Source organism: Homo sapiens, chromosome 14 (assembly GCF_000001405.40).
Source record: "Homo sapiens chromosome 14, GRCh38.p14 Primary Assembly".
Lineage (NCBI taxonomy): Eukaryota > Metazoa > Chordata > Mammalia > Primates > Hominidae > Homo > Homo sapiens.
Window position 1 is genome coordinate 88,922,909 of NC_000014.9, and position 12,461 is coordinate 88,935,369.

Consider the following 12,461-nt stretch of genomic DNA (forward strand, 5'->3'; position numbering starts at 1 on the left):
TTGTGTTACAATCCAGTTATACTCTCTTAGTTATTTTAAAACGTACAATTAAATTATTATTATTGACTATAGTCACACTGTTGTGCTATCAAATAGTAGGTCTTATTCATTATTTCTATTTTTTTGTACCCATTAACCATTCCCACCTCCCCCTACTCCCCTACTAACCTCCCCAGCCTCTGGTAACCATCCTCTACTATCTCCATGAATTCAATTGTTTTGATTTGTAGATTCCACAAATAAATGAGAATATACAATGTTTATCTTTCTGTGCCTGGCTTATTTCACTTAACATAATGACCTCCACTTCCACCCATGTTCTTTCAAATGACTGGATCTCATTCTTTTTTGTGACTGAATAGTACTTCATTGTGTATATGTACAACATTTTCTTTATCAATTCATGTGTTGATGGACACTTAGGTTGCTTCCAAATCTTGGCTACTGTGACAATGCTGCAATAAACATGGGAATACAAATATCTCTTCAATATACTTATGTCCTTTCTTTTGGGTATATACCCAACAATGAGATTGATGGATCATATGGCAGCTCTATTTTTAGTTTTTTGAAGAATCTCCAAATTGTTCTCCTTAGTAGTTTTACTAATTTACATTTCCATCAACAGCGTACAAGGGTTCCCTTTTCTCCACATCCTCACCAGCATTTGTTATTGCCTGTCTTTTGGATATAAGCTTTTTACTGGGATGAGATGGTATTTCATTGTAGTTTTGATTTACGTTTCTCTGCTGATCAATGATGTTGAGTACCTTTTCATATGCCTATTTGCGATTTGTATGTCTTTTTTGGCGAAATGTCTATTCAAATCTTTTGTCCATTTTTTGATCAAATTATTAGATTTTTTCCTAAAGAGTTGTTTGAGCTCCTTATAGATTCCATTTTGTTTGTTTGTTTGTTTTGTTTTTTTGAGATGAAATCTCACTCTGTCACCCAGGCTGCAGTGCGGTGGCACAATCTTGGCTCACTGCAACTCTGCCTCTTGGGTTCAAGAGATTCTCCTGCCTCAGCCTCCTGAGTAGCTGGGACTACAGGCACGTGCCACCACGCCTGGCTAATTTTTGTATTTTCAGTAGAGACAGGTTTTCACAACGTTGCCCAGGCTGGTCTCGAACTCCAGACCTCAGGCAATCCACCCGCCTCGGCCTCCCAAAGTGCTGGGATTACAGATGTGAGTCACCGCACCCAGATAGATTCTGGTTATCAATCCTTTGTCAGAGGGGTTGTTTGCAAATATTTTCTTCTATTCTTGTGGGCTGTCTGTTCACTTTGTTGATTGTTTCCCTTGCTGTGCAGAAACTTAAAATTGATGTTATCCCATTTGTTCATTTTTGCTTTGGTTACCTGTGCGTGAAATTTTTGCCCACACCAATGTCCTGGAGAGTTTCCCCAATGTTTACTTGTAGTAGTTTCATAGTTTGAAGTCTTAGATTTAAGTCTTTAATTCATTTTGATTTGATTTTTTTATATGGTGGCAGGTAGGGGTCTGGTTTCATTCTTCTGTATATGAATATCCAGTTTTCCTAGCACAGTTTATTGAAGAGATTGTCTTTTCCCCAGTGCATGTTCTTGACACCTTTGTTGAAAATGAGTTCACTATATGTGTGTGGATTTGTTTCTGGGTTCTCTATTATGTTCCAATGGTTTTTGTATCTGTTTTTATGCCAGTGCCAGGCTGTTTTGGTTACTATAGCTCTGTAGTATAATTTAAAGTCAGTAATGTGATTCTTCCAGTTTTGTTCTTTTTGTTTAGGATAGCTTTGGCTATTCTGGGTCTTTTGTGTTCCATATACATTTTAGGATTATTTTTTCTATTTCTGTGAAAAATGTCATTGGTATTTTGATTGGGATTTCATTAAATCTGTAGATTGCTTTGGACAGTATGGACATTTTAACAATATTGATTCTTCCAGACTACTAACATGGAACATCTTTCCATTTTTGAGTTTCCTTTTCAATTTCTTTCATCATTGTTTTATAGTTTTTGTTATAGAGATTCTTTTCTTCTTTGGTTAAGTTAATTCATAGATGTTTAATTTTATCTGTGGCTATCATAAATGGGATTTCTTTTTCAGATTGTTGATTGTTGACATATAGAAATGCTACTGATTTGTATGTTAATTTTGTATCCTGCAACTTTGCTGAATTTGTTTATCAACTCTAATAGGTTTTTTTTTCATTGAGTCTTTAGTTTTTTCCAAGTATAAGATCATATCACCTACTAACAAGGATACTTTGACTTATTCCTTTCCAATTTAGATGCCATTTATTTATTCTCTTGTCTGATTGTTCTAGGCAGGACTTTAAACTCTAGGCTTATTTTAAAAGCCTAAATTGTATGTATATGTGTATAAAAGGATATATGTGTGTATGTGTATATATCAGAAGCTATAGGAAAATAGGACTACCATAGAAAGCACCCAGAATCCCGCCAACCAGAGGAAAATACTATTAACCTTTTAATCTTTCTTTGCCATCTCTTTCTCGATATGTTTCTTTGATTTTTCTAAAACAAAAACTACATATATGTATATATAATTGAGTGTCTTACCTCTTTTTTTTTAAAAAAAAGAAGAAACCCTTAATAATATATTGTGAATATTTCCCAACTTCTTTTCAGTATATTTAAAGAAGGGCAAAGGAATTAGGCTAATTGTGATTCTTTCTAGATAGCATTCCTCAACGTTATTTTATGGTAAAAACTGTTGACTTTGAATAAAAAAAAAACCCAAAGTGATTTATCTTTAGAAGGCAAAAAGCAGCATATATAATGCAGGGCATATGTAATAACAACAACCCCAATAATAATAAGCACATTATCTCTTATAACTCTGCAGCCATATTATGAGTTCAGGGTATATTGTTACTGTTAATACAGATGAGGAAGTTAAGGCTTAGAGAGATTAAAGCACTTGTCAGCACCACACAACTAAAACCTAGAACTGAAGTTCAAATCTAGGTTTCCTGATCTCAAATTCCACACTCATAACTAGTACAAATAGTTAAGGCAAGTTAGCTGGGGTGATGAAAGCCCAGGAGACACAGTGTTCAGTGAAGGAAAGAAGTCTGGCAGAGCGGGTGTATCACAGCATCTAACAAAGACAGCAACAGGCCAGAGCTGTTAGCTGAGGCTAGGAATCGGCATTCAGAAGGCTTGCCTGAGGTCACAAGAATTCTGGCCTGCAGGTGGGTGAAAGAGGATGTGGCAGTCTTGAGGCATAGGAGCTGGAGCTCCAGGGGGAAGTCACAGGAAAGCACATCAGGAGGCAGTAGGAAAGGCAGCCCCAGGTTGGGATAGATGAATCCCAGGTCCTGAGGGAGGAGGGTGGAGGAAGTTGCTTGGGGAGGAAGGAAGATAGGAGCCAGAAGTTGGGCAGCTGGAATTCTTTTCCCTTCCAATCACCCACTCTTGGATTACCCTGCCTGACTTGGATAAGGGGAGGGAGGCTTGTTAAAAAGAGGGGAGATAAACAGTTTGTACGAAACAAAATAGATTTCACACATTCACCAAAAGATGTACAAGAAGGTTCCTAGCAGCACTATTCAAAATCGACTGAAACTGGAAACAACACAAATGTCCATCCAATGTGATAGATAAATCAACTGTGGTCTAATCACACAATGGCATTGACATGGTTTGGCTCTGAGTCCCCACATAAATCTCACCTTGAATTGTAATAATCCCCACATGTCAAGGGCGGGGCCAGGTGGAGATAATGGAATCATGGAGGCCGTTTCCCCCATACTGTTCTCTTGAGATTCAGTAAGTCTCACGAGATCTGATGATTTTATAAATGGGAGTTCTCCTGCACGAGGCCTCTTGCCTGCCACCATGTAAGATGTGATTTTGCTCCTCATTCACCTTCTGCCATGACCGTGAGGCCTCCCCAGCCATGTGGAACTGTGAGTCCATTAAACCTCTTTCTTTTATAAATTACTCAGTCTTGGGCATGTCTTTATTAGAAACATGAGAACAGACTAATGCAGGCATACGGCACAGCAATGAGAGTGAACAAACTACAACTATATGTGATAAAATGGATGAATCTCATAAATATGATGTTGGGTGAAAACAGACGCAAAACCATAGGTTCTGTAAAATTCCATTCACGTGAAGTACAGAAACAGTCAAGACTATTCAATGCCCTTAAAAGTAAGGTTATGTATGCTTGGAGGTGGGAGAGTAGTGACTAGAAAGCATCATGGCTATAGGGTTTCTAGGGCACTCATAATGTTCTTGTTTTTTAAAAAATCAGGGTGCAGGTTTCATTTGTGCATTCTAACTATTTCATCTAAACTTGAACAGGAATTTATTAGATTACAAACAAAAGAAGTAAGAGAAAGGAAAGAAATAAACAAGAGCAGCAACAGCAACAGAATAATCTAAACCATTATGATGAAAAGGTTTATTTCACTCAGCTTCCATTTATGAGTAGAACATAGCACATTTTTGGCCACTTAGTTTCTACGTGATTACCCCCAATACTGTCCTACCCCTGTCATCACAGGAAAATTGCAAGGGAGAAGTTTCATGCTGTCAAATAATTTAAAATTGCTCCAACCCACTTTGGAAGTTTCAGAGATGGGCTGTAGGGCATGGTTCTAAGTGGCTTTGAAGTCTTATTGCATTATTTCTATGTAATGCAAATTGACAAGGTCTCTAAATTAGGCAACTAACTAGAAAATGGGGTCTGAAAGCCAGTTTTATTAGCAGCCAGGAATCTGCTCTCAAAGACTTATCTGTTTGTGGCCAGGGCATGGGTGGGGAATATATTTTCCATGCAGGAAATCAGGATGATAGTAGCAATGGGGAGGAAAAGATCCAATGTAGAAGCCAGGGAATAGATATGGGTGTTGCACATTTTTCTAGATTTTATTTGACAAATATTTATATAGAACTTTCTATGTGCCAAGCACTGTCTAAGTACTCACTGTATGAAGGATTGATTTAATTCCTTACAGCAAACCTACAATGTGGGTGCTATTATCATCCTCACTTTAAAGTTGAGGAGACTGGAGCACAGAGAGGTTAAATACACATGAAAGGCTACACAGCTGTTCAGTGGCAGAGCCAGAGTTCAAATTCAGATTGTCAGGTTCCTGAGTCCTTGCTCTTAACACTAAGCTATGATGCTGCTTCTCACCAAAATGGCAGCATGACTCCCAGGCTGAGGACCTTGGCTTTTCTCACTGCATGCTGTGATGGAGAGATTGCCAAGAAGACTTTCCCCTCCCCGTCTGTCCCTGCCCCCAACTCAGCTTCTGTAAGGCACTATTGCTAATGTCTGAACTTCCACCATTGAAATTTATTCTTTTGGGTTAAGTGCCCTGCTTTCCCAACATTTCTTATAAAAGTGTGGACACCTTCGCAAGATGTCTGTGAACCAATGTCTGAGTGTAAGACTTCACCCAGTGTATTAGTCTGTTCTCATGCTGCTAAAAAAAGACATACCTGAGACTGCATAATTTATAAAGAAAAAGAGGTTTAAAAGACTCACAGTAACAGTTCCACATGGCTGGGGAGGCCTCACAATCATGGTGGAAGACAAAGGAAGAGCAAAGGGACGTCTTACATGGTGGCAGACAAGAGAGCTTGTGTGCAAGGGAGCTGCCCTTTATAAACCATCGGATCTTGTGAGAATTATTCACTATCATGAGAACAGCACAGGGAAGACTTGCCACCATAATTCAATGACCTTTCAATGGGTCCCTCCCATGACATGCAGGGATTATGGGAGCTACAATTCAAGATGAGATTTGGGTGGGGACACGGCCAAACCATATCATCCAGCTTTCTGGGAAGGGAAGAATGCAAGCATGGAGGACTCAGGAGGGCAGGAAGATACCCAAGTTGGTGGTGGGCCTGAAGGCCAATTTCACTGACTTTACTGTTCTGTCAGTCACTTGCTGGCTAAGGCACATTTCTGGATCCATCCATTCATTGAGTCCTTGATAGATGCAAGACCTCGGTGTCGGTGTCCTTAGGGATATAATGGATTTGTAATCTCCAATAGCCCTTATATATTATCCATTTTAATTCATAAATCTTTTCCCAACCTATCCTCCAAAGTCACTATTATTATTCCCAATTATCCATGAAGAAAGTTATGTGCAGAAAGCTTTTGTGAATTGCCCAGGGTCACGCAATTTGTGAGTGACAGTCCTGGGATGAGGACCCATGTCTTCAATGAATCTCAGTAGAATAGCAGGAAAAACAAAGGGGACTCATTCAGCAGGTGCTTATTTGTTTGTTTTCAATATTGTAGTAAAATATATATAACATAAAATTTACCATATTAAACTTTTTTTTTTTTTGAGACAGAGCTTGCTCTGTCACCCAGGCTGGAGTGCAGTGGCACAATCTTGGCTCACTGCAACCTCTGCCTCCTGAGTTCAAGTGATTCTCCTGCCTCAGCCTCCTGAGTAGCTGGGACTGCAAGTGCCCACCACCACAACTGGGTAACTTTTGTATTTTTAGTAGAGACGGGGTTTCACGATATTGGCCAGGCTGGTCTCAAACTCCTGACCTTGTGATTTGCCCTCCTTGGCCTCCCAAAGTGCTGGGATTACAGGCGTGAGCCACCACACCCGGCACTTAACCATTTTTAAGTGTGGAGTTTAGTAGTGTTGAGTACATTTACACTGTTATACAACCAACCTCCAGAATTCTTTTCATCTTGCAGAACTGAAACTCTATATGCATTAAACAAGAACTCACCCATTCTCCCCTTCCCTAAGTCCCTGGCAATCATCCTTCTACTTTCTGTCTTTATGATTTCAACTATTCTAGGTACCTTATAGAAGTGGAATTATAAAGTACAGTATTTGTATTTTTGTGACTGGTTTATTTCACTTAGTATATTATCCCCCAGGTTCATCCATATTGTAGTGTATACCAGAATTGTCTTTCTTTTTAAGGCTGAATAATATTCCACTGTATGGATATACCACATTTTGTTTATTCATTCATCTGTCAATGGTCACTTGGGTTCCTTTACCTTTTGGCTACTGTGAATAATGATGCTATGAACATGGGTGTGCAAATGTCTCTTCAAGACCCTGCTTTCTACTCTTTTGGTCAACAAGTGCTTTTAAGATTAGATAATAATGTCAAAATTACTAAGCCTATGATGAAAAAAACCTCAAAGAAAGTGTTGTGAAAGCTCAGACTAGTCTAATCGGTATGTGATTGAGCCTTTAGGGCTCAGACCATGAGGCCCACAGGGAAATGGTCAGAGCGGGTGCCTTCCTTCTTCTTTGCTGGTTGCCCATCCTCCAGCAGCGCAATCTCATCCTTGGACTTTCTCCTCCTTGTGGCAGAACTGGGCAGTGTTTCTACCCCCCAGCTCACCCTTTTCTGTGAGCAACTTGTCCATCTGAAGATGGGGCTCTGGACTCCAAGAGCTGCCCTGGGCTTCTTGACTCAGCCTGGTACCAAGGACCAATTCTTAATTATCTGTTTTCAGTCCCAACTTGCTGACCCATCAAGTCCAGCCTGACCCCCAGCCGCAGCACACAGTCGAGGTCACAGCAAGTGACATTCCTTCCGTAAAACACCACAGAGCTCGGGCTCCACATTAGCTGTGCCAAAGGGCCACTATCCAAGTGAACAACATTACAGTAGGAAAGAATTGTGGAGAAGACTTGAAATTGCAAGAGGGAGAGAAAGAAAATAATGACTTCACCTAGCCCCATAGTATGTGTAGTGGGCAAATTTTAAGACTCCCGTTAGATACACTGTGCCCCAAACACAAGCTGGTATGAGCCAAAGTCATGCTTCCCACTCCTGCGTTGATTTGGTAGGGAAGAGCATGTCTTTTTCATTATCACAGATGTAATGGAGAAGCTCAGATTGTCAAGGAGCAGGCTGGCCACAGTAAGGATGGAGAGGGAGGAATGTGGATGGCTCAGGTAAATCCAGAGAGAACTCCAAGCACACACTCCGCTGAGAACCAGACATGTCTTTGTGACTCTATGAATGTCTTCTGCTCATCTGTGTGGGATGCATCAGGGCAGCCTAGCTTGGACGTAGACTCATAGAGCACTGGGATCATAACTATTTGCCTTAGTTAATCTTGGGCAGATTGATTTTCTCATCTTATCTCATGACAAGATCCATCTTTGTAGGATCTCAGCATGGCAAATTGTCTCCAAAAGGATATGGTCTATAGAGCGTGTTCCTTTTGGTTCAGAAGTCCCAAGCAATCACTTTTAGTGGATGTATTGATCAAGGCCTGGTCTTTGATGTTCAAAGGCTGCAGAACTTAGGCCGGTGTTCCACATTTCCTTTCCTTCCAGCTTTTTTAATGCCTCTGAAGTGGACCATCAAGACTTCTCTACAGGCAAAGGAAAGTTTCCAACAATGCCAAGGAACCAGGGAAGGGGCATTGTCTAGTTACAGATCAAAGGAGTGGGGCGGTCTAAGGCTTCATCCCTCATGAGAGCAGCTGGGCACTGGGCCCTCCGCCCATCTCTTCATCTCTTGAAATGGTCATTTCTGCCGTGGAAATACAGTTCTTTGGAAGCAGCCGATGAAATAATGAGCTGGGGAAACATTGTTCCAAATGCCATCTGTGCCATAGGAATGGGACCATGACCCCCTTCTGTGAAATTGCTGGGGTTGTTTCCCAGCCCCCCGTGTCTGTGGCTCTCATTAGTGTTCTAATGGAACACTCAGAGATGGCTGGCAGTCGGGTCCAGAATGTGTGTTATCGACATCTCTTCTCAAGCCAAACAAAAGTCACACTCAGGTCAAAGGGAGACGGGGCTGCTGCAGAAAGAGAGATATAAATAAAAAGCCAAAATAGATACTTTGAGAAAGGGCACTTTATTTTTAGGAAAGAAAAGGAATTAGGAGAAGATAATGGTTGCCCTGGCAATGAGAGAGCACTGCATATATTCTATAGGCCCAGCTTTAAATGTAATGCGGGAAACAAAACGGATTCCCTGGTGACTTTCTGAGAAAATACAGATGGAAATAAAAAGCCTGCTCAGAAACAATATCTCACATTAAGTCCAACTGCCATTTCACTACTGTTTTATAGGCTTCCCACTCCACGGCCCTGTATTAATTTAAAAACCCATTTTCATGTCTGGCACAAAATCCACTTTAAATGAGAGTCTCCATTTCATTTTTTTCCACTGTTCCTAACTGTGCTTTAAAAATTGAACTGGGAGGCCAGTCACGGTGGCTCACAACTGTAATCCTAGCACTTTGGGAGGCCAAGGCGGGCAGATCACGAGGACAGGAGATCGAGACCATCCTGGCTAACACAGTGAAACCCTGTCTCTACTAAAAATACAAAAAAAAAAAAAAAAAAAAAAAATTAGCCAGGCATGGTAGTGCACGCCTGTAGTCTCAGCTACTCGGGAGGCTGAGGCAGGAGAATTGCTTGAACTTGGGAGGCGGAGCTTGCAGTGAGCCGAGATGGTGTCACTGCACTCCGGCCTGGGTGACAGAGCAAGACTCCATCTCAAAAAAATTGAACCAGGAGCAGCAGACCTAGAAGCATGGCTTGGAATACTGTAATTCTCAGCTGAAAGAGGGTGATAGTGTCGGCAGCTTCTCTAAGCCCTTGATTTTACCCAGGAGGACCAGACAAATTGGTTGCTGACATTTAAACATCTGGAGAATGCACACAAAAATTCACATTTCTGTTTTTTCTTGAAAATGTAGAAAACCTGACCATCTTGGACCTTCCTTTCCACGTGGCAAAAATCAGCCCCAGTCCCCTCAAGTCCCCATAATATTCTTTTCTGTCCAATGCCCATCGTATTATTGCCTAGTCTCTATGGGCATTGGGGTTTGACAGGCTCATCTAGTTCCAGCTGAGGTCCTCTTTCTTGGCCAGTGCTTCTCAAACTTTATTCCATATCAGAGTTACCTGGAAGGCTTCTTAACACATAGATTGCTGGATCCCACCCTCAGAGTGTCTGCTTCTGTAAGTTGTTGGCAGGGACAGGGCTAGGGATTTGCATTTCTAGCAGTTCCAGGTGATTCTCATGCTCCTGGTCTAGGGACCACACTCAGAACCACTGCCCTGGATTCATGGTAACTCTGCTTCTGTCAGTAAAGAGCTCTTGATGATTTTCCTCAAAGAAATTTATATCAAGTTTAATGAAGTGGCAAAAAATTTTTATCCATTGCAATGCATCAGAGGAAGAGAGCCATATTTTTGGGGAAAAGGGAGCATGATGCTCTAGCTGGAAAGATGACAGCAAGACTGCCTTGCTGAGACAGGCAAGAAAGGAGAAAGGAAAGGAGGGAAGAGAGAGACAGCAGGGAAAGGAGGTCTTAGTGTGAAGTCAGTGGGAGGAGGGGTCCTTGCCTGTGACCCCCATTTTTGTGACCCTGAAAATGCATGGTGTGAGTGGAATGTGTATGTGTGTCAATGGTGACAAAGTCTTGGACTGAAGTGGTGAAACATGAGCCTTCATACATGTCTGTGGGAGCCAGAGAGGAAGGTCACCATGGCAACCAAACCCATGAGATCTGTACATGCCTCGGTGAAGGCTTTGGACTTTCTCAAGCCATGAAATTGAGAGATTTGAGCCAGGTCCCCTCCATCTCAGAAGAGCAGGGAGGCCCCAGCTGAATTCTGGGTTCCATAAGAAAGATTTCATCTGAATAAAGTACATAATTCATTTTGCCCATTCTAATCATCAAAGTGGTGTATAGCAAAGAATCTGAGATTCTCCTCAATGGGAGATAACACCCTGGACTGTCTCAATTCCAGGCAAAAGCAACAGCACTTGATGTTTTTGATAATCTATGCAGGCTTAGAGACGAAAAACTCTTTGTTAGTCTTTTCTTGAAATACCAGTGATAGCTCTCGGATGTCCATTATTTCCTTTAGAGGTCTTTGGAGATCTGGAGATGGCTGGGAATGCCTCCCGGGCTGGTGTCCGGCCACGCACAGGCAGGTTGGGGGTGGTCTTGAGGGCCATGTTGCAGGCCTGGTCCAGAGATATTCACAGGGAGATTTAAATTTTCTGTTTCCAACATGCCTTATTATTATTCAGTATATACAATTACATAATGAAAGCATTATGTAGAAGGTAACATGTTATTTGGCTCTCTTTCCTTTATTGAGCACCTATCATGTGCCCAACATGTTATGTGCACTTTTTAGTTTAATATTCACCACTGTTCTGAAAAGTCAGAATTTTATCCCCATTTTACAGAAAGAAAAATATGCTTCAAGAGTTTAATAACTTTCCAAATGTTATTCAGCCAGTGAGTGGTGGTGCCAGGATTTGAGCCCAGACCTGTCCAACTCTAAAGTCCCTGTTGTTTTCTTCTGACCACCCCACCGCTTGCTGCTTCTCAAATGAAAGAGATTGCCTTTATTGTCTATCCCTATAGCTTTCGAGTATGACAAGCAATATTCTGGCTCTCTTACATTTGTTCAATGTTTAAAACCTATCCCTTTAGCTCCAAGAAAAGCATAAAAGAAGAATTTGTACTGCATTCCTTTGCATGATAATATTGCATTCCTGAGCATCAACTCTACAGGAGCCTTCTCTGTGATGGAAGTACAGTGTTTGAAGATGGCTGCACGTTCCCAGCCCTCTATGATTTTTCAGTGAGCAGTTTCAGCTGGATATAGAATTGCAAGTAAGAAAGTTCCAGTTGGCTTCCCAGAAAATTTAATCTCTCAATTTTCCTTAGTTGTTTGGCATGCCAGGATGAGATTCAAATGAGATTCTATAAAAATGACGAGTTTTTCCTGCTTCCTTCTGTCATTAGCCCCTCTCACAGCTGGGCTTCGTTTCTGTGACCATAAACTAGCTCATGCTCTCAACACAGGAGTAGCTACAAACTGGGAAATGGAACTAAGCCCAATATAGCAGCCAAACCCTCCCAGTTCTGCTTTGCTCTGTCTTGGTGCCATTTTGTTTGAAGAAAAAGGGGGAACACATCACTTTAGAAGGCAGCTGTTCATTTTTCCTGTAGGTAAACGCAGAAGAAGGCGCGGAGGAGAAGAAACCTCACCTTGTTGTGAGGTTTCTGTGGACAAGGACCTCTGTCACTGGGCTTTCTGCTAACCACAACATCCAACTGATCAGCACTCCTGCCTATCTAAAATGAACTATTGATAGAACTATTGACCCCGAGGAAGACTTCAGAGTACCCTAAGGGTACTGGCCATCTGGCTTCCTTGCCAGTAGTCTCCCCAGACCTCGTCTCCACATCAAGGTCACTCTCCACTGCTGCTAAAATGATCCTTCTATAATGTGAGCAAGCCACACCCTGGCCTCAATTGTTCTTCATAAGGTCTTCTATGACCATATCCCTGCTGACTTTTCCGGTCTTGTACTAACTTGTCTTCCTGCCTCCACGTGCCTCCATGTGCCTCCACGTGCTATGGAGAACCTAAGTTGGATCATGTCACTCCCCTGATCAATTCCCCCTCCCCGTCTTGTCCCATTGCATGCAAAAT